General features: G+C 43.0%; 1 protein-coding gene across 61 annotated transcripts in view; it reads left to right on the forward strand.

The window, feature by feature from the left end:
- The first annotated feature begins 4,275 nt into the window (after positions 1–4,275).
- LARP4 (La ribonucleoprotein 4) overlaps positions 4,276–23,316 on the forward strand; it is a 79,120-nt gene continuing 60,079 nt past the window's right edge. For 21 of the 61 annotated variants that reach the window (NM_001330415.2, XM_047428208.1, NM_001352308.2 and 18 more), the window contains exon 1: positions 4,276–4,419. In NM_001330415.2, coding sequence (NP_001317344.1) covers positions 4,402–4,419 — 18 coding nt within the window. In that variant the 5' untranslated portion in view covers positions 4,276–4,401. Of the gene's footprint in view, positions 4,420–4,539; positions 4,673–4,797; positions 4,871–6,065; positions 6,205–15,795; positions 15,845–19,736; positions 19,826–23,316 lie in introns of those variants that run through there. The other 40 variants (XM_047428202.1, XM_047428205.1, XM_047428204.1 and 37 more) reach the window with 12 other exon arrangements.

The following is a 23,316-nucleotide window of genomic DNA, read 5'->3' on the forward strand; positions in this document are numbered from 1 at the left end:
GCTACTAATTGGTGGCTCCCATGATATTCCCGTCCTGTTGATGTCACAATAGACCCATTGTGACATTATCATTGATCAAACATGTAAAGAATGCTTACTATGTGCAGAGAACTGGTCATTCTATATGCTGCCATGGTAGAAGGGTGAGGGGGGAAGGAGGGTAGGAAATAATAGACAACAGGAATGCTAAAATAAACAGAAGATATAGCCCTGCTTAAATAAGCTTAAAATCTAGATGTGTTGGCCGGGTGCAGTGGCTCATGCCTGTAATCCCAGCACTTTGGGAGGCCGAGGCAGGTGGATCACCAGAGGTCGGAGTTCGAGACCAGCCTGACCAACATGGAGAAACCCCGTCTCTACTAAAAAAAAAAAAATACAAAATTAGCCATGTGAGGTGGCACATGCGTGTAGTCCCAGCTACTTGGGAGGCTGAGGCAGGAGAATCACTTGAACCCGGGAGGCGGAGGTTGTGGTGAGCCGAGATCACGTCATTGCACTCCAGCCTGGGCAACAAGAGTGAAACTGTCTCAAAAAAAAAAAAAAAAAAATCTAGGTGTGTCAAATATAACTCCTGGTTCTTCTCTCTTCCTGGGGTTTTGCTTAAGTATTTTTAAGCCTGTAATGGAATAAAGGTTACAACTACTTCCTCAGCTGCCCCTTAACTTTTCCTAGACATGTAGTAACTTGGATGATATCATTTGGATGAAGTAACTTGGATGATATCATTTGGATGAGGATCACACTCTTTGCACTGCTTACTCTTTTTTCTTTTCTTTTCTTTTCTTTCCCTTTTTTTTGGAGACAGAGTCTCACTTTGTTACCCAGGCTGGAGTGCAGTGGTGTGATCTTGGTTCATGGCAACCTCTGCCTCCCAGGTTCAAGAGATTCTTGTGCCTCAGCCTCCCTGAGTAGCTGGAATTACAGGTGCGCGCCACCACGCCTGGCTAATTTTTGTTTAATATTTGCTTCCAATTTTTTTAATAATAAAAAAGCATTACAGAAGGTTGAAGTCCTCTTTGATGTCCCCCACCCCTGGTTCCTTCCTTCCCCACTGTCCCATTCCAGAGGAAATGACAATCATGAATTTTACATATTTGTGTTATCTATTTTTACATAGTTTTACTACAGGTGTATGTATTGTTTTTTCTTTCTTTCTTTCTTTCTCCTTCCTTCCTTCCTTCCTTCCTTCCTTCCTTCCTTCCTTCCTTCCTTCCTTTCTTTCTTTCTTTTTTTTTTTTTGAGGCAGAGTCTCACTCTGTTGTCCAGGCTGGAGTGTAGTAGTGCCATCTCAGCAGACTGTAACCTCTGCCTCCCAGGTTCAAACGATTCTTCTACCTCAGCCTCCCGAGTAGCTGGGATTACAGGCATGCGCCACCACACCTGGCTAATTTTTTTTTTTTTTTTTTTTGAGACGGAATCTCGCCTGTGGCCCAGGCTGGAGTGCAGTGGCATGATCTCGGCTCACTGCAAGCTCCGCCTCCCAGGTTTGCTCCATTCTCCTGCCTCAGCCTCCCGAGTAGCTGGGACTACAGGCGCCCGCCACCACACCCGGCTAGTTTTTTGTATTTTTTAGTAGAGACGGGGTTTCACCATGTTAGCCAGGATGGTCTCGATCTCCTGACCTCGTGATCTGCATGCCTTGGCCTCCCAAAGTGCTGAGATTACAGGTGTGAGCCACTGCACTCGGCCTACACCTGGCTAATTTTTTATATTTTTGGTAGATATAGGGTTTCACTGTGTTGGCCAGGCTGGTCTCAAACTCCTCAAGTGATTCACTCACCTCGGCCTCCCAAAGTTTAGTTGTCAACTAAACTAAATTTGCATTATTCTTTCTCTCTCACTTGCATCTTTTATGCAGCATGGAATTCATCAATCAGCAACTAGACATGAAGGCTTTTCTTTGAGACAAAATCTCACTCTGTCACCCAGGCTGGAGTGCAGAGGCACGATCTAGGCTCACTGCAAGCTCCGCCTCCCAGGTTCACGCCATTCTCCTGCCTCAGCCTCCCAAGTAGCTGGGACTACAGGCGCCCACCACCACGCCCGGCTAATTTTTTGTATTTTTAGTAGAGAAAGAGTTTCACCGTGTTTGCCAGGACAGTCTCGATCTCCTGACCTCGTGGCCTCCCAAAGTGCTGGGATTACAGCCATGAGCCACCACGCCTGGCCATGAAGGCTTCTTAAAGTCAATTTTTAAATCCTGCTTCCCTTTCAATTCGACAAGCATTTGTTGAAACACTATGCAGCTTACATTATCCTAAACTGAAGAATATATGATAGGGTTCCTGTGAAGAAACTAAAACAAAAAAGAAAAGATTTAAGATAGAATATAATAATCAAGTGCTAATAAGGGACACGAAGAAGAGATCTGTAGAAGCAGAATCTTTGAGAAAACCTTATGGAGAGAGAAGGTTGATTGACAAATGGAGGCAATCCAGGTAGGGGCAACACCTTGAGCCATGGCTTTGGCGGTGAGTGCTAATGAGTTTGCATCTTAGGGGGAAAGTAAGGAGATTGGTTTAATCACTGAGATGACTTCACGGGAATTTACTGAGGACCACATTAGGGTGGGCCTGAGATAACAGATATCAGCAATTTGGTGGTGGAATTAATTTGGTATCTGAGGAGATTCCATTTGCGGCAAAGCAAGGAGGATTTCATGAGATCAGAATGGCAAAGTCTTGAAATCAAGTAACAGTGGTTTGGTGAAAATGAAACCTTCACTTTGGGAAGATTTTTTAAATAATAGAATGGAAAAATCCATTGGAAAAGATCAAGACATGATTATTTCATTTTTATTTATTATTATTATTTTTTAGAGACAGAGTCACACTCTGTCACCCAGGCTTGAGTGCAGTGGCGTGATCTTGGCTCACTGCAACCTCTGCCTCCCAGGTTCTAGCAATTCTCCTGCCTCAGCCTCCCACGTAGCTGGGACTACAGGCACACACTGCCATGCCTGGCTAATTTTTTGTATTTTACTAGAGATGGCATTTCACCATGTTGCCCAGGCTGGTCTTGAACTCCTGAGCTAAGGCAATCCACCCGCCTCGGCCTCCCAAAGTGCTAGAATTACAGGCGTGAGCCACGGTGTCCGGCCAATTTTTATTCGTTACTATTATTATTACTATATTTGAGACAGAGTCTCACTCTGTCACCCAGGCTGGAGTGCAGTGGCGCGATGTTGGCTCACTATTAACTCCACCTCCTGGGTTTAAGCGATTCGCCTGCCTCAGCCTCCCGAGTAGCTGGGATTACAGGTGTGCACCACCACACTTGGCTAATTTTTGTATTTTTAGTAGAGATGGGGTTTTACCATGTTGGCCAGGCTGGTCTTGAACTCCCGACCGCAAGTGATCCGCCCGCCTCAGCTTTCCAAATTGCTGGGATTATAGGCGTGAGCCACCCTTCCCAGCCAAGACATGATTATTTCAAAAGATGAGTGTTTGAACTAGGACATACAAGTGGGAGCGATCTATCCTACTACATATTGCTAAAGACAATAAGGAATTTGGACCATCTAACAAAAATTATAGATAATTTTAAAAATTTTGTTTTTATTGTATTTCGTTTGAATTAATGACAGAACGTCAAAGAAGACACTGTCCAGATTAAGTGTTATTACTGGTATATTAAGCGGTGACATGGGTAATTAATTCAAATGAGCCTGGGGCAAAGTTCTTTAAAGGGAAACCCGACCTCCTAGAGGGCTTCTTCAACTGTAAAATGGGGATGATAATAATAGTGTTTATTGCATAGAATTGTTTTAAGATCAATTAACATAAAATGCTTAGTATAGTGCCAAACACAATGTAAGCATTTAATATACATTAGCTGCTATTAACATATTTGCTAGTATCATAGTTTTTTGTTTTTTTTTTCTTGTCTACTTTTCTTCTGTGAGCCACCACTTTTCGGCAGGGTTGGTTTGTTCAGTACACTTCGCCAAGGTCGGCTTTAAAAATCAAATCTAGATTGTGAACTATGAAAACTGCGGAATTATCAGTGCTGTGTAGCTATCTGACAAGTGATAAAATGTGTCATTACGATTTTTACACATCCCCGTGCCACAGAATGGCGTCTCCTTCTAATCGTTCCCCCCGACAGATGATAGTACATCCCACACTGCTGCTGGAAAAGATAGTGCAAAAGTTGAGCGCGCCGAGGGCTCTCTTTTCTCCCGGAAACAATTTTTCCCTAGACCCGGAAGCAGTTGTTGTTTCAAGGGAGGTGGGACTGGGCGGGTCAGGCCGCAGCGGCTGACGGCAGGGGAGGAGCCGGGTCCACTGCCGGGTGGAGGGGCAAGGCGAGTGTGTGTCCTTATCCTAGCAATTGGGGCGCGGGCCTGTGAGCCAGTTGGAGTTGCGGCGGCGGGAACGATTGGGCTGAGCAGAGGACGACATGTTGCTTTTCGTGGAGGTGAGTGCATTATGCTAGTCTCGTCCTGCTCTTAGGAGAGCAGGAGTGTAGAGGCGCCGGCCGGTCCCACCGCCATGTGACTTTCCGGGCCGTACACGCCGCGGAACCGGCAGATAGGCTGACACAGCACCTGGGCCGAGCAGGCCTGCAGCTTCCCTCTGCGCGCTCACAACACTCTAGGAAGCTATGGGAGGTGAGGCCCGTAGTGGAGAAGAATTGAAGGAGAAAAACGGAGGGCTGTTCTGGTGTGGCGGTGAGGTTCAGAGGAAGGGGAAAGTGTCCCATATGGACCTCCTAAAGGAGGCAGCATTGGGGGGTTGGGGGGCGGAGTCTGAGGGAGGAGAGGGTAATCAGGTGGGCGCGTTCCGGGGGCCGAGCGCGGCCTCGCGGGGCCCCTCTGGGAGGGAGGCGAGCAACATGTGGGGCCACGGATGGAGAAAGGTGAAATGCGGTAAGTATTTTGAAAAGAAAATTGAAAAGTTCTTTTGAGCAACTTCCACCAAATTCTGCCCGGGCCCCGTCCCTAGGTCTCTGGAACGTTCTGTGGGTGAAAGCGAGTTACTTTGAATCGAGGAGAAGCCAGTAGGGTTTGGAAGCCTTGAAAGGCACCGCTTTGACCTTTTGTAAAAGTTACTCAAGCAGCAGCTGCGTGATGAAGGGTTGGTTCTATGAACCGATTAAAAGCCCTTTACAAGGAAAATTCCAAGAATGAGGGAAACTTATTCCGGGAAAAGCCGTTTTTTGTAATGTTATTTGAACAATGAGACACTTTTATTACTTAAACTAGAACGTCTGCTGTTGGCCTATTTTAGTTTTCAAGATAGAGTTGGATACCTGCCTTACAGAAATACGAAATTTAATTTCCCTTAATTCTGTCCTCTTGTGTGCAGTGAGCGTCAGCTGACTGCCTGGCTAATGCTTTGAGTAGATTCCAGATCATATTGTTCTTACATTGTGAAAACGTCAAACCAGCAAAGCTGCAACTTCGCAACTTGGCATTTGTTAACTATGCCCATAAGAAGAATCTTTTCAATGAGGGAAGGAATTTACGGGTTGTATAATGAATCTAGGAGCCGGGGCCAGCCTATGGCAGATTTTTTTTTCCGGGTTGTGGGAAAATCTTACTCCGTAATATTCCAGCATAAAGTAAATAAATGATTTTACGGTTTTTTTTTCTCTTTAAACTAACTGATATTGTGTCGCCGATAAGCTTGATATCTTTAAATTAGTTTTTTAAAAGACTGCTACATTAGAGTGTATCTAACATTCATAATAAACATTCATTGGAACATTCCGGGGAAATCATGAAAAGACTTAAAATTACTGAACTCATTCTGTTTACTGTTTTCTGTCCTCATTGTTGTTTTCCTTAGGCAGAATAAGAAATCAGATAAGATTTTAAGCCAGTGCCAGCCAGTTTTTTTAAGGAATGTTATGCTATGTAAATACCACAGGTTTTAAGTGTGTGTTTTGCTGGGCAGAAGAAAGATTGTGAAGTTTATATTGACAGGAACTCCACAATATACTTTTGACTTCCAAATTGATTCCTTTGGCTTTATTAAAATGTAAGTTTTAATAACAGCTCCATTTATTGTTTAAACTAGGTCTTCTCCTGTCTCTAAAGCGATACTTAATATGTTTTACAGATGACAAAACCGAGCCCCAGAGGTTAAAGTAACTTTACTTAGTAAAAGTAAAGTAGTTTAACTGGGATTTAGATCCAGGTCATGCTGATGTCAAATCATGGACGGGATGTTAGCAATTCAGGCCTGTCCGACTCCCCAGGTTAGACAAATTCTATCGTATCTCTCGCCAAACTAGTGTTTAAAAGTTGTATCTCCATTAATCATTTTCTTTGTGAGTCACTATGTCATTCTTCATTTTCTCATATGAGTTTTATTGAAAATTAACTGTCTTTAAATATTTGGGGCTGAATATGTGGTATTAAAATCAGTGAAAAACAACATGTTGGTCGTTTGGCGTTTTGTTAACTAATATTTGATCCCTGTAACCTCATGATAGAGGAATTATTCTCAGTGAGAGAACCAAAGCTCAGAAGTTAGATGTCTAAGGTCATTCAAGTGTAAATAATGTGGGGGCTAAAGTCTGAAGTCTGACTTCTAGAACATAAATTTCTGGCTTCAAAATTATTTTTGTACTTTCCCATAAGTCAAAGGTTCTTAATCTAGGTTTTTGGATAGAATTGAGGAAGTAAGTACCTAAGCTTGGTTGAGGAAAAAAATTTGCGTGTTTATTTTCTCTAGCTTCTAACTGAAATCTAAATGGAAAAGAAGTGAAAATTCTTTAAATGTTAATGGCAGCAACAGTGTATGTGACCTTGTCACCAAGACAAATCACTTTTTTACATGTATTACAGCTTTTGCAGTTATCTTGAAATATTTATGCTCATTACTTGCTATATGTCAAAAATATTGTTAACGTATTGCTATATTAGACATTTTAAAATATTTTGATAACTGCGTTTCAATATAATTGGTTTACTTTGTGATCCTATATATTTTAGAAATGTAAAAAAACGGAGAAGAGATCCATAGATTAATTGGACTACTAAAGAGGTCTGTGTCACAGAAGAGGTTAAGAACTGCTTTACTAAACCAACTTGCTTGTGGATCATCTTTGGCAGGGTTAATCTGGGATCCCTGGGTCCTCTGCAGTTGTGTTCAATACCTTTTACTTATGTGTATTTTTCTGGAGAGATTCCAGCTTAACTATCCCACTAGAATCAGTAGGATAGATAATAGCAATATAACAATAACAACAGTAGTAGTATATACTTGTATCGTGCTTTGTGTCAGGAACGTTTGATGTTTTTGCATATATAGATATCTGTACATCTTAAGTCTCAATATCTCTATGAGGTGTTAGTATCCCCATTTTAGTGATAAGTAAGGCAGCTGGGCGCAGTGGCTCATGCCTGTAATCCCAGCACTTTGGGAGGCTGAGGTGGGTGGCAAATCACCTGAGGTCAGGAGTTTGAGATCAGCCTGGCCAACATGGTGAAACCCCATCTCTACTAAAAATACAAAAATTAGCCAGAGGTGGTGGCACACACCTGTAATCCTAGCTACTCGGGAGGCTAAGGTAGGAGAATCGCTTGAACCTGGGAGGCAGAGGTTGCAGTGAGCTGAGATGGCACCACTACACTCCAGCCTGGACAACAGAGTGAGACTCTGTCTCAAAAAAAAGAAACTAAGGCACATATAATTTAAACTTGCCTAAGTTTATACAGCTAGTGAACATGGAAGCTTGTATTAGAACTCATCAACCACCTACTTGTATTGGAGTAGAATATATTGCAGACAAGGAATCAATCCTATGTAAATAATACTTAGATGCAACTTTTTAAAACCTGGCCTTGGGCCCAATGTGGTGGCATGTACCTGTAGTCCCAGCTACTAGGGAGGCAGAGGCAGGAGTTTCGCTTGAGTATGGGAGGTCAAGGCTGGAATGAGCCGTGATTGTGCCACTGCATTCCAGGCCGGGTGACAGAGCAAGACCAACTATATTGACTTCAGTAGATTATTGGTTTGTTTTATTTTTTTCCTCTTGAGACCGAGTCTCGCTCTGAGACCGAGGCTAGAGGGTGGCGCAGTCTCAGCTCACTGCAACCTCCGCCTCCTGGGTTCAAGCAGTTTTTTTTTTTTTTTTTTTTTTTTGAGACGGAGTTTCCACTCTTGTTGCCCAGGCTGGAGTGCAGTGGCGCCATCTCGGCTCACTGCAACCTCCACCTCCTGGGTTCAAGTGATTCTCCTGCCTCAGCCTCCCGAGTAGCTGGGACTGTAGGCGCATGCCACCACGCCCAACTAATTTTTGTATTTTTAGTAGAGATGGGGTTTCACCATGTTGGCCAGGATGGTCTCGGTCTCTTGACCTCATGATTCGCCCACCTCGGGCTCCCAAAGTGTTGGAATTACAGGCGTGAGCCACCACACCTGGCGGGTTCAAGCAGTTCTGCCTCAGCCTCCCTAGTAGCTGGGACTTCAGGCATGTGCCACCATGCCTGGCCTTTTTTTTTTTTTTCCTGATTTTTAGTAGACACGGGTTTCACGATGTTGGCCAGGCTGGTCTCGAACTGCTGACCTCAAGTGATCCGCCCGCCTTGGCCTCCTAAAGTGCTGGGATTATAGGCGTGAGCCACCGCGCCTGGCAGATTTTTTTTCCACCTCTGTTCTGAAGGAGAAACAAACAATGTCCCTCTCTGGAAAGAGGTAAAAGTTTGGATGATTCACAAAGTCATCAAACATGACCTGCCATGAATTCTTTTACAACAAATTGTTTGTAAGTTTGAAACTGCAGTGTACTACCTTCATCTGAATGCTATCAAGTTACTTAAAACTTGTGAGCCCTAAGGAGGCAGATAGTAATTTAAAAAAATTTTTTCATTTCTCTCTTTTATTTACAGTTTTTTTTTTAATTTTTAATTTTTTGAGACACAGTCTCGTTTGCTGCAGCCTCCACCTCCCCAGCTCAAGTGATCCTCCCACCTCAGTCTCCAAAGTAGCTGGGACTATAGACATGTACCACCATGCCTGGCTAATTTTTTTCTTTTTTGGTATTTTTTGTAGAGACAGGGTTTTGCTTTTTTGCTCAAGCTGAAATTTTTGTTTAAATAAAAAAAATTAAAACTAGAGACTGGGAAGGGTGGGTATGCAGTGACTACTGAAATTGGGTTTCTGTCTCTGTTTGAGTTTTTCCCTGAAAATGAAGACAGTTGTCCCTCAGTATTTGTGGGAAATTGGTTCCAGGACCCTCTGTAGATGCCAAAAACCTTGGATGCTCAAGTCTTACATAAAAAGGCATAGTATTTGCGTAGCACCTATGCACATCTTTGTGTATATGTTAAATAATCTCTAGATTATTTATAATACCTATTAAAATGTAAATGCTTTATAAATAGTTGCTATACTGTATTATTTATAGAGTGATAAGAAAAAAGTCTCTACATTGTCAGTACAGATGCAATGATTTTTTTTTCTGAGTATTTTTGATTTGTGATTGATTGCTCCACTGATACAGAACCTATGGATATGGAATTCATGGATATGGAGGGCCAACTGTACTTACTTACTTAGGTAGCAGTTAAGTTTCATACGACCTAGGACGCTTTAATAACTCTTAAATAATTAAAACATATTTTAGGTTGGGTAACGTGTCTCATGCCTGTAATCTCAACACTTTGGGAGGCCGAGGTGGGAGGATAGCTTGAGCCCAGTAGTTCAAGACCAGCCTGGGCAACAAAGTTAGACACCCCCCACCCCCACCCCCAACCTCTACAAACAAATTTAAAAAATTAGCCAGGCCTGGTGGCATGTGTTGTGGTCCCAGCTACACTTGAGGTGGGAGGATCACTTGAGCCAGGAGATCGAGGCTGCAGTGAACCATGTTCATGACACTGCACTCCAGCCTGGATGACAGAGTGAGACCCTGCCTCAAAAAATTTTTTTAAATTATTATTTTATTATTTTTTAAGAGACAGGGTCTCACTGTGTTGTCCAGGCTGGAGTACAGTGGCTATTCACAGGTACAGTCATGGCACACCATAGCCTCAAATTCCTGGGCTCAAGCAATCTGGCCTCAGCCTCCTGAGTAGCTGGGACTACAGGCTCATGCCACCAGTTAAAAATATTTTTAATTGTGAAATACATATAACTTAAAAAGTATCATCTAACAGTTTTTTGTTTTTTTGAGAGAGAATCTTGCTCTGTTGCCCAGGCTGGAGTGCAGTTGCATGATCTCGGCTCACTGCAATGTCTGCCTCCTGGGTTCAAGTGATTCTCTCACCTCAACCTCCCCAGTATAGCTGGGACTACAGACGTACGCCACCATGCTGGCTAATTTTTGTATTTTTAGTAGAGACGAGGTTTCGCCATGTTGGCCAAGCTGGTCTCAAACTCCTAACCTCAGATCTACCTGCCTCAGCCTCCCAAAGTGCTGGGATTGCAGGCTTGAGCCACCGCGCCCAGCCCATCTTAACAGTTTTTTTGTTTGTTTTTTGAGATGGAATCTTGCTCTGTCGCCCAGGCTGGAGTACAGTGGCATGATCTCGGCTCACTGCAACCTCCGCCTCCTGGGTTCAAGCGATTCTTCTGCCTCAGCCTCCTGAGTAGCTGGGACTACAGGCGCGTACCACCACGCCTAGCTATTTTTTGTATTTTTAGTAGAGACGGAGTTTCACCATATTGGTCAGGCTGGTCTCGAACTCCTGACCTTGTGATCCACCCTCCTCGGCCTCCCAAAGTGCTGGGATTACGGGCGTGAGCCACTGCGTCTGGCCGAAGCTTTGTTTTCTTTAAGGTTTAAACTAATTTAAGAGAAGTATAACTTCTAAGTTTTCATCTCAGCCTTGTTACTAACATACTCTGATTTAGGGCAAGTCAAACAATTTATAATTATTTAAAGTTTTTTTTATAGTTGGAGAGTATACTTTTGGTTGGGCAAATAAAAGTTTTAAAAGAGGAATGAAGATGGCAGTATGTTAAAATACACATTTACTTGCAGCATTTAAAGGAGTACAGCTGGGCGGGGTGACTCATGCCTGTAATCCCAGAATTTTGGGAGGCCGAGGCAAGTGGATCACTTGAGGCCAGGAGTTTGAGACCAGCCTGGCCAACATGGCGAAACCCCATGTCTACTAAAAATAAAAATATTATCTGGGCATGTGCCTGTAGTCCTAGCTACTTGGGAGGCTGAGGCACACCTTGAAGCAGAGGTTGCAGTGAGCCGAGATCATGTCACTGCACTCCAGCCTGGGTGACAGTGAGACTGTCTCAAAAAAAGGAAAATTAATTAAAGGAATACAAATGTTAAAATGCAAATAGGCACTTTGCACTTACTCTTTTGAAAAAAATTATAATGTAAAAGTGTAAGTAAATGTAAGAAAAAGAAACATCTAAGTATGTACTCATCTTTCCTGTCTTACCTGTGTCCTTGTCCCACCACTTGAACCAATCTTTGGTTCACAGAATATCTCTACTGTTTTTAAATGACGGGCTCTAAACCAAAGACAGAAGAGTGCTTTAGATGAATATTATTAGGGGTAGGATGTGAACTGCATTCATAAATGCCAAACTCCAGGGATGAGTTGAGTTAAGTTCTATTGGGTTTGTATGTACTGAGAGAAGAGAAAAGGATTTTCTGCTTTTTTTTTTTTTTTTTTTTTTTTTTCCAGCTGGAGTTTCTCTCTTGTTGCCCAGGCTGGAGTGCAATGGTGTGATCTCAGCTCACTGCAACCTCCGCCTCCCGGGTTCAAGTGATTCTCTTACCTCAGCCTTCCTGAGTAGCTGGGATTACAAGCATGCACCACCATGCTGGCTAATTTTGTATTTTTAGTAGAGACAGGGATTCTCCATGTTGGTCAGGCTGGTCTCGAACTCCCAACCTCAGGTGATCCGCCCTCCTCGGCCTCCCAAAGTGCTGGGACTACAGGCATGAGCCACCGCACCCGGCGAGAAAAGGATTTCTCGTCAGGGTAGAAAAGTCTGCAGTAATGCAGGGTAGAAAAGTCTGCAGTAATGCAGGGTTTGTGTAACAAATAGTTCGATAGTATTTCATACTACTGACTAGCAGGTAAGATGATCTTACCTGCTATTTTGCCCTGGAAGGTCACAGCATACAAATATTTTCTGTGACAGATGTTTTACCCTTTTTCCTTCTCAAAAGTATTCTGGTTTGTATAATAACTTGTAAATTTTCAGAAGAGATTAGAGGTTTACTGTGTGCTTATTGGCAAGACTTTCTTTCCTGCTATACTAACAAAGTAACATAATGCACGTAAGTGGGTACTGAAATATTTGTTACATTGGGTATGGCAGGCTGGGTGGGCGTGGCTCATACCTGTAATCCCAGCACTTTGGGAGGCTGAGGTGGGAGGATTACTTGAGTTCAGGAGTTCAAGACCAGTCTGGGCAACATAGTGACACCCCATGTCTTAAAAATTTTTTTTTTAAATATATTGGCTGTGGAAAATGTAAATTTATAGGGCAGAAAGTTGCAGTTGAGCAAGATAATGAAAATAGGATTATTTTTGCCTTTTGAGTTGGAGGAAGAAAAAAAATAGGAGGGCAGTGACTGAGTAAAATTAAGATACATTTATATACAAGGTTACATAAAAGATTTTTTTTTTCTTTGACCAGCAGGCAAGAAGAAAACAATGTCTAGAAACATGGACTCTGGGGCCAGCCTGCCTGGGTCTAAATCTCTGCTGAGACTGAGCCACTTTTTGTTTAATCTCTCTGCTTCCTTATCTGTAAATTGAGGACAATAATATGGGAGGGTAATATTAATATCTATCACGTAGGGATGTTAAGAAGATTGACAGAATAAAACATTTAGAGTTGTAGGCTGGGCGTGGTGGCTCACACCTGTAATACTAGCACTTAGGGAGGCAGACAGGAGGACTGATTGAGGCCAGGAGTTCAAGACCCAACCAGGGCCAGGTGCAGTGGCTCATGCCTGTAATCCCAGCACTTTGGGAGGCCAAGGCTGGTGGATCACTTGAGGTCAGGAGTTTGAGACCAGCCTGGCCAACATGGCAAAACCCCATCTCTACCAAAAAATATACAAAAAAAATTAGGCGGGTATAGTGGCACATGCCTGTAAGGGGCTGCATAGAGGGCTGAGGCAGGAGAATGGCTTGAACCCAGGAGGTGGAGGTTGCAGTGAGCTGAGATTGTGCCACTGCACTCCAGCCTGGATGACATAGCAAGATTCTGTCTCAAAAAAAAAAAAGAAAAGAAAAAGAATTATTATTATTATTATTATTTTTTTAAGATGGCGTTTCGCTCTTATTGCCCAGGCTGGAGCGATCTTGACTCATTGCAACTTCCGCCTCCCAGGTTCAGGCGATTGATTCTCTTGCCTCAGCCTCCTGAGTAGCTGAGATTACACACAGGTACCACCATGCGTGGCTAATTTTGTATTTTTAGTAGAGACGGGGTTTCTCCATGTTGGTCAGGCTGGTCTCGAACTCCTGCTCTCAGGTGATCTGCCCACCTCAGCCTCTCAAAGTGCTGGGATTACAGGTGTGAGCCACCACGCCCGGCAAAAAAAAAAAAAAGAACTATTTTGATATTTAATATTGATGCTTGAGGTTGAGGTATATTTAAGTTCGTTTGTGTAGTTAGCCATTAGCTTTATCAGCTGACTAATTGAAGTAATGGCTTAGTATTTTGAGGATTAAATACTAAATGTTAGATACCTTTTTTTAATAGAGACAGGGTCTTGCTATGTTGGCTAGGCTGGTTTGAACTCCTGGCCTCAAACGATCCTCCCATCTTGGCCTCCCAAAGTGCTGCGATTACAGGTGTGAGGAGCCACAACACCCAGTCTGTTAGACGTCTATTAATACAGGATTCTTTATCTTTTTTTTTTTTTTTTTGAGATGGAATCTCGCTGTTGCCCAGGCTGGAGTGCAGTAGTGCAATCTCTGCTCACTGCAGTCACCACCTCCTGGGTTCACGCCATTCTCCTGCCTCAGCCTCCCAAGTAGCTGGGATTACAGGCGCCCACCACCACGCCTGGTTATTTTTTGTATTTTTAGTAGAGACAGGGTTTCATCGTGTTAGTCAGGATGGTCTCGATCTCCTGACCTCATGATCCGCCCTCCTCAGCCTCCCAAAGTGCTGGGATTACAGGCGTGAGCCACGGTACCCGGCCTAGAATTCTTTATTTTTAATGAAAATATTCATGAATCTCATGTTGAACTTTCTAGGGAGAAATTTGTAACTTTGATTATATTTTCAGAGTGATTCGTGACCCCCAAAAGGTTAAGTGCCACTAATCGATGGTGGCGTCAGGTTCTTTTGATGAATGACAGATACTGTCTGATTGAGATAGTGGGAATTTTAGGATATAAATCCTGTCTTTTCCACTGGTACTAGAGTACCAGCAATAATACTGATGATAATATTGATGAATAAACTTCAGATTTTCTTCCACAGTAGAGGGCAAGTGAATTCTGATTTTTGACAACTTCGGGAGGTTGGTGGAAACAACTTAGGGTGGTCCAGTTTCCTTGCTGTTCAAAGTGTTATCCGTAGATAGTAGTAAGCTCCTTTTAACCCAGGGGTTTGTTACAGTAGAAACTCTACCCCTGAATTACTGAATCAGTCTGCATTTTATCAAGATCCCTAGTTGATTCTTTTTTTTTTTTTTTGAAGATAGTGACTTGTTCTGTTCTCCAGGCTGAAGTGCAGTGGCGCAATCTTGGCTCACTGCAACCTCTGCCTCCCTGGTTCAAGTGACTCTCCTCTGCCTCCTAAGTAGCTGGGATTACAGGCACCTGCCTTTTTGTATTTTTAAAAATTTTTATTTATTTTTTGAGATGGATTTTTGCTCTGTTGCCTAGGCTGGAGTGCAGTGGCACAATCTCAGCTCACGGCAACCCCTGCCTCCCGGGTTCAAGTGATTTTCATGCCTCCCGAGTAGCTGTGATTACAGACGTGCACCACCAACCCCATCTAGTAGAGATGGGGTTTCACCATGTTGGCCAGGCTGGTTTTGAACTCCTAAACTCGGGTGATTCGCCTGCCTCAGCCTCCCAAAGTACTGGGATTACAGATGTGAACCACTGAGCCCAGCCTAGGGACCCTAGTTGTAATCTGGCGGCTATTTTCTATATTCATTTTTGTTTTTTCTTTTTTCTTTTTTTTGAGATGGAGTCTCGCTCTGTTGCCCAAGCTGGAGTGCAGTGGCGTGATCTCATCTCACTGTAGCCTCTGCCCCCCGAGTTCAAGTGATTCTCCTGCCTCAGCGTCCCGAGTAGCTGGGGCTACAGGCACACGCCACCATGCCCACTGAATTATTGTATTTTTAGTAGATAAACGGGGTTTCACCTTGTCGGCCAGGCTGGTCTTGAACTCCTGACCTCAGGTGATCCACCCGCCTTGGCCTCCCAAAGTGCTGGGATTATAGACCTGAGCTACTGTGCCCAGCCCCTAGACTCCTTAGGTTTAAATCCTGGTTTTGTATTAATAGCTATGTAACTTTGGGCAGATTACTTTACCTTGAAGTAAAGTAACTTTTTCCTTGTCTGTAAAATGTGGATGATAATAGGACTTAACTGAGATTGTTATGAAGATTAATTAGATGTTCCATAAATGTAATTACTATTCTCTGAATGAGTGAAGAATTCCCACTTTAATTTTCATTTTTACTTTTTGTAAAATAGCCCTAAGCATCTTCTGGTAGGATTCTGAAGTTACTTTGGAAGAAATGACAGGTGTTTTTTTTTCCCCCCCTAAGTACTTGTAACTTAGTAGTAGCCCTCTCAGTATTGGAGATGTAAAAATTGAACCTGGATGATTGATGGGGCAAAATACATTTAATCAATTTATACATTTTATTTCTGTTTTACAGCATTTATGGGGTTAAGTGGCATGGGATTTCTGTTTCTGATAGTAAATAGGTAAGTAAAACAAAAGGTTATGTATGTCCGAAGAGACGGTTTTACCATATTTATGGTGATTTTCTTCCTAACTCATGGTTCTGTTACCTTAGGTCTGTAATTTCTTAGGACAGGAGGATACCATTTTCACAAGAATTTGATGGTTCTCTTTTTCCTTTCATTTTTATCTCTCTGAAGGTAGAATTTAGCATTAAATGGGACAATAATCAGGACTGCCTTTGGCTTATTTGGGGATGACATATTGCTTAGAAATAAGGGTGGTGATTGAAGCATCAGTTTTACAGATAGTTTAGATCTTTTTGTTGAGTATCTATGTGCTTGCATACTATGTATATGTTGGCAGATAGTTTAGCATGCATTTGGACAGTTTACATCGTTTAGTAGATATTTATAAAACTGTAATCTCAAGGGCTTCTAATCCTGTGGAAGTGATCAAGATTTTGATGGCGGTCTAAACTGTGGTGAGAAGATGAATAAAACTTGGCTATTGGCTGGGCGTGGTAGCTCACACCTGTAATCCTAGCACTTTGGAGGCTGAGGCGGGCGGATCACGAGGTCAGGAGTTTGAGAACAGCATGACCAACATGGTGAAACCCCGTCTCTACTAAAAATACAAAAAATTAGCCGGACGTGGTGGTGGGCGCCTGTGATCCCAGCTACTCAGGAGGCTGAGGCAGGAGACTCCCTTGACCCCGGGAGTCAGAGGTTGCAATGAGCTGAGATCATGCCACTGCACTCCAGCCTGGGCGACAGAGTGAGACTGTGTCTCAAAAAAAAAAAAAAATTGGCTGTCTAGAGTCTAAATGAAAAGATAGATTTTATTCTAGCTAAACTGACTTAGGGGCTGCCAGCCATCAGTTAACTTATTAGCATGCAAAAAGACATCACTTTGGAGATTGTAAGGATTTTAGTTGTGTGTGGATACTATCATACACAACTGAAATACACTGTAAAATATATATTTTACAGTATCACAGATAGTGAACATTTCCCATACTTTCTAAGATTTTTTCTCCATTTTTCAAAACTTTTTAAAGATAATTCAATCTTGCCTTGTTCAGGGATACATCCTGAGGGATGTGTTACGGATTTCATTATGTGAACATCAGAAAATATTTATACAAATCTAGATGGTATACCTACAACACACCTAGGCTATATGGTATGGCTATTATAATCTTATGGGACCACTGTTGTACATGCAGTTTGTGCTTGATCAAAATGTCATTAATGCAGCACATGACTGTAATTATAGATTCATGAAGTTGCAAAACAGTGTACAAAGTGGTCCTGTGAAGTTGTTGCTCAGTTTCTCCTTGTAGTATCACCTTGCGTAACTATAGTATGGTATAATGAGCAGCAAATTAACATTGATACAGTCCACAGACCTTACTCAGATTTTTACAGTTTTCCCTAAATCTGGTTTTAAGGATCTGGTATATTCTATTTTATAGATGAACTACAGTTCACCTCTATGGTAGGATGTTTATAAAATTAGTGTGGCAAACATCCTTGTACTTACATGTTTTTATATATCTCAGTTTCTTTTGAGTAAATCTGACAAGTAGAATTTTTGGATCAAAATTGTGTATTTAAGGCTTTTAATAAACATTGCCAACTCTTCAGAAGAGTTATATAAATTATAGCAATGAACTGATTTTTCCTTTTCATGCTTATCAAAATAGTATTGAATCTGGGCCGTTGAATAGGGTAAAAATGATATTTTATGATAAACTATTCCAGTCTGTCCTTTGCACATTTTCCCTGTTCGGCAAACAATCTTGGTAATTTGTAATTCTCTTGTTTAACAGTATTGTAACCTTTCAGGTCTTTTCTGGGTTTTGTTGTTGTTGTTGTTGTGTTCTGTTGAGACGGGGTCTTGCTCTGTCATTCAGGCTGGAGTGCAGTGGCATGATCTTGGCTTACTGCAACCTCCTCCTCCCATTCTCAAGCCATCCTCTCGTCTCAGCCTCTTGGGTACCTGGAACTAGAGGTGCATGTTACCATGCCTGGCTAATTCTTGTGATTTTGTAAAGACAGGGTTTCACTGTGTTGCCCAGGCTGATCTTGAATTCCTTGGGTTAGGCGATCCCTCAGCCTCAGCCTCCAGAAGTGCTGGGATTACAGACATGCACCACTGTGCCTAGCCTATACCTATATATTTATCTGTACAGTGATTTTGTTTGTTAATAGAAATGATAATATAAAGTGCTTATTGTTTTGCAGCGTTACTTTTTTCACTGAACAATATGCATTGGAACAATTTCCATGTTGGTGAATGTAGTCCTATTTTGGTTTTCTTAAACTTTTATAGTATTCCACATTAAGAGATAGACCATATTTAACTATTCACCTATAGGTGAACATTTAGGTGGTTTTCAGTTTTTCACTTGTGGGTTCAATACTGTACTATACAACCTTTTATATGTCTTCTTGTGTGCATCAGTGGCTTTTAAAATGTATAGTCTTGGCCTGGTACAGTGGCTCACGCCTGTAATCCCAGCACTTCAGGAGGCCGAGGCAGGGAGATCATGGGGTCAGGAGTTCGAGACCAGCCTGGCCAACATTGTGAAACCCTGTGTCTACTAAACATACTTAAATTAGCCCAGCATGGTGGCGCACACCTGTAATCCCAGCTACTCAGGAGGCTGAGGCAGGAGAATCGCTTGAATCCCAGAGGTGGAGGTTGCAGTGAGCCGAGATCGTGCCATTGCATTACCAGCCTGGGCAACAGAGCAGGAGATCTGTCTCAAAAAAATAAATGAATGAATAAAATAAAATGTATAGTCTTAACTAGGCTGATGAAAGATATAAATATGCCCAGAAGTACTGCTTATCTTTATGCCATTAGAGTGTAATGTCTTTAGATCTTACACTTTGAGTATTCTTAGCACCATTAATTATCAGGGACACATCAGATTTTGGGGTAGTGTACTGCTGAAGGGAATATATTTATTAATGATTTTGATCAGTTATTAAATATTTAGTGAAATAGCGTACCCCATCAGGAGAAAAGGTTTTTGAGCATAATCCTCCGATATTTGGATATTTATAAATTAATTATATATGACATACTTTGTATGTTAAATATTAGCCTTAGTCTCATATGGTGAATATTTGTCATGTCCGAAGCCTTCCAATTTTTTGTTATATGTCTACATTTGCAAAATTGCCCATGTTATGTGTCAGGCCTCCTCAGTATGTGTACTAGTGAAAACTCAAATTCCCAGCTTCTTTTTTTTGTTTTTTTTTTTTGAGACGGGCTCACTTTGTTACCCCGGCTGGAGTGCGGTGTCACGATCTCGGCTCACTGTAACCTCCACCTCCCAGGTTCAAGCATTCCTCCTGTCTCAGCTCTCCAAGTGGCTGGGACTACAGGTATGAGCCACCATGCCCAGCTAATTCTTGTTTTTTTGTTGTTGTTTTTTTTTTTGGTAGTGATGGAGTTTTGCCATGTGGCCCGTGGTAGTCTTGAACTCCTAAGCTCAAGTGATCCACTCACCTTGGACCCCCAAAGAGTTAGGATTATAGGCGTGAGCCACCGCCCCCACCCTCCATGTTTTCTTGGATGCAGGCATGTGACCTACAGACACACTCAGATGACTTCTCTTTGAAAGTACACAATGGAAGGAAGTGAAGGTTCTGTTTATAACTTCCATTTTGCAGTTAGGAATGGCAGCAGGGTTGGTCAGCTTTAAGTGGAGGTAATAGTTGCAGATTGAGTTCCTAATAGAGAGTGGCTTTGGTGCTGGCAGTAGTAAAGGTTATAATGGATTTGAATCTTGTTATTTAGTGCCTGGTGGTGACAGGGATAGTGGTTTCCTCACCAGATCCTTGTGCAACATTATTTTGGGTGATCTTATCTTTGCATCTGTTTTTTCACCCCTCCTAGTGAGAATCAGAGCGTCTACTGCACCTTTCAGATGACCGGGTGCCGTGGCTCAACACCTATAATCCCAGCACTTGGGATGGGAGGCTAAGGTGGGTGAATCACTTAAGCTTGTGAGTTTGAGACCAGCCTGGGCCACATGGTGAAACCCCGTCTGTACTTAAAAACAAAAACAAAAACAAAAACACAACATCAGCTGGGCATGGTGGCACATGCCTGTGGTCCTAGCTACTCAAGAGGCTGAGGTGGGAGGATCCCTAGAGCCTGGGAGGCAGAGGCTGCAGTGGGCCAAGATCACACCACTGCGCTCCATCCTAGGCCGCAGAGTGAGACCCCATCTCAAAAAATAATTACCTTTCAATGTGGGCATGGTGGTGCACGCCTGTAATCCCAGCACTTTGGGAGGCTGAGGCAGGCTGATAGACTGAAATCAAGACCAGCCTGCACAACATGATGAAATCCTGTCTCTACAAAAAGTGCAAAAATTTGCCAGGTGTGGTGGCATGCAGCTGTAGCTTGGGAGCCTGAGGTGGGAGTATTGGTTGATCCTGGGAGGTTGAAGCTGCAGTGAGCTGAAGTGCTACTGCACTCCAGCCTGGGCAAAAGAGTGAGATCCTGTTTCAAAAATAAAACAAAACTCTTCTGCTTAATTTAGCCAGAGTGGATTTGAATAGTGATTGATTGTTTAAAAACTTTGATGAGATACTTTTGGTACAGCAAGCACTTTTTGCATGTATATATAGTGGCAAATATGAAAGTGTCTTGCTTTTGAAAATTGATACTTATGCCAGGTATGGTGGCTCACGCCTATAATCCCAGCACTTTGGGAGGCCGAGGTGGGTGGATAACGAGGTCAGGAGTTCAAGATCAGCCTGGCCAAGATGGTGACACTCCATGGTGATGGGCGCATGTAATCCGAGCTACTTGGGAGGCTGAGGCAGAGAATTGCTTGAACCCAGGAGACAGAGGATGCAGTGAGCCGAGATCGTGTCACTGCGCTCCAGCCTGGGTGACAGAGCAAAACTCTGTCTCAAAAAAAAAAAAGAAAAAAAAGAAAATTGCTACTTATACGTTCTTAAATAATACCTTGATACTTCTCCTGGTGGGGCTGTTTGAAAACTAGTTGTCTTCCTCCCTGAGCTAATTACGATATGAGGAAGTTGTGAATTAACATCTCTAATCCAAGATGTTGCTATAGTTATTCATGGTGCTACTTCAGAGATGCTTTAGCTCCCCTGTAAGGGCTGTTATCTTGTTACTGGTTTTGCTATTATTGTAAAAGCTTCTAGCAGCCATGAAACCAAAAGCCAAGAAGCACTGCATAGCAAGACTTCTGCTTTAATTACTTATTAATTAATAATTTATATTTTGAGATGGAGTCTCACTCTGTTACCCAGGCTGAAGTGCAGTGGCACAGTCTTGGGTCACTGTAGCCTCTTCCTCCAGGTTTAAGTGATTGTCCTGCCTCAGCCTCCCAAGTGGCTGGGACTACAGCCACATGCCAACATGCCTGGCTCATTTTTTTTTCTTGTTTTGAGACGGAGTTTCACTCCTGTTACCCAGGCTGCAGTGTAATGGCGCGATCTTGGTTCACTGCAACCTCCGCCTCCTGGATTCAAGCGATTCGCCTGCCTCAGCCTCCCAAGTACCTGGGATTACAGGCACCCACCACCACGCCCGGCTAATTTTTGTATTTTTAGTAGAGACGGGGTTTCACCACATTGGCCAGGCTGGTCTTGAACTCCTGATCTCAGGTGATCCACCCGCCTTGGCCTCCCAAAGTGTTGGAATTACAGGTGTGAGCCACTGCGCCTGGCCCAATTTTTGTGTTTTTATTAGAGAGTGTCAGTGTTTCACCATATTGGCCAGGCTGATCTTGAACTCCTGACCTCAAGTGGATCCACCAACCTTCGCCTCCCAAAGTGCTGGGATTACAGGCGTGAGCCACTGTGCCTGGCCTAGGCGTTATGTTCTTAAAAATAGAGAAGCGGAAGGATTACATAATTATTGGGTGGCAGAATAAAGTTTTTCTGTTATACCATAATTGTCTCAATTTTTGGAATTACTCTTTAATTTAGCTTTAAGAAAAAATACTGGTATTATTTCCTTGAAATATTATGAATTAGCTGTTCTGAGAATTCCTCACGGCTCTTTTCAGTCTTGACCTCCTGGACTTAAGTGATCCTCTTGCCTCAGGCTCTCAAATAGCTGGGACTGTAGGCATGTGCCAACACGCCTCGCTAATTTTTTAAGTATTTTGTAGAGACAGGGTTGTGCCACGTTGCCCAGGCTGGTCTCGAACTCCTGAGCTCAAGCGATTTGCCTGCCTCAGCCTCCCATAGTGCTGGGATTAAAGGCATGAGTCACCATGCCTGACCCATTTTGTTTTGTTTTTTGAGACAGTCCCGCTTTGTCATCCAGACTGTAGTACAATCATGTGATCTTGGCTCACTGTAGCCTCAGTCTCCCAGACTCAAGCAATCCTCCAGCCTTAGCCTCCCAGGTAACTGGAACTACAGATGTGTACCACCACCCTGGCTAAGTTTTTAATCTTTTTTGTAGAGGGGGGTGGTCTTCCTATGTTGCCAGGCTGGTCTTGAACTTGTAGTTTCAAGCAGTCCTTCCGTCTTGGCCTCTGAAAGTGCTGGGATTACAGGTGTATATATAAAGTTTTTCAATTCAACACATATAAAGTTTTTTTAAAGCAGAGATTTAAGCTGGTAAAAAAGCAAATGAGGCTGGGCATGGTGGTTCATGCCTGTAGTCCCAGCACTTTGGGAGGCTGATGCATGAGGATCACTGGAGCCCAGGCATTCAAGACCAGCCTAGGCAACATGGCAAAATCCCATCTCTGTAAAAAATACAAAAAAAATCAGCTGGGCATGGTGTCATTCACCTGTAATCCCAGGTACTTGGGAGGCTGAGAAGTTGGAGGATTGCTTCATCTTGGAGGTTGAGGCTGCAGTGAGCCTTGATGGTGCCACTGCACTTCAGCCTGGGCAACAGAGTGAGACCCTGTCTCAAAACAGGTAGGGAAAAAAAAGACTTTCCCAGAGAAAAGCACACTGACAGTTTTAGCCTTGGCTCTGGGTTGGTGCAGGAGAGGTCTTTGATGATTCTAACCACAGATCCTCTTTGATACCAGAGTATGGCTAGATTTTGCACTACCTATTATTTCCAAAAAACTCAAGTTGAAAATTTAAATCTAGTCCAGATTGGTAGTCTTCCTAGGCAGACATCTAGCAGAAGTAAAATAAATTATCTCCTTAAGAAGCCCATTTAGGCCTGTTGTGGTGAGTCATGCCTATAATCCCAGCACTTTCGGAGACCAAGGTGAGATGATCGTTTGAGGCCAGGAGTTCAAGACTGGCTAGACAACATAGCCACACCCCATCTCTACAAAAACAAAAACAACCTATCCACGTGGTGGCTCAAACCTGTAGTCCTAGCTGGTCACCAGGCTGAGGTGGGATGATTGCTTGAGCCCAGGAGTTCAAGACTGCAGTGAGCTGTGATCACGCCCCTGCGCTCCACCCTGGGCAACAAGAGTGAGACCCTGTCTAAAAAAAGCCCATTTAAACAT

The sequence above is a fragment of the Homo sapiens genome, chromosome 12 (genome assembly GCF_000001405.40).
Source record: "Homo sapiens chromosome 12, GRCh38.p14 Primary Assembly".
In the NCBI taxonomy this organism is placed as follows: Eukaryota; Metazoa; Chordata; class Mammalia; order Primates; family Hominidae; genus Homo; species Homo sapiens.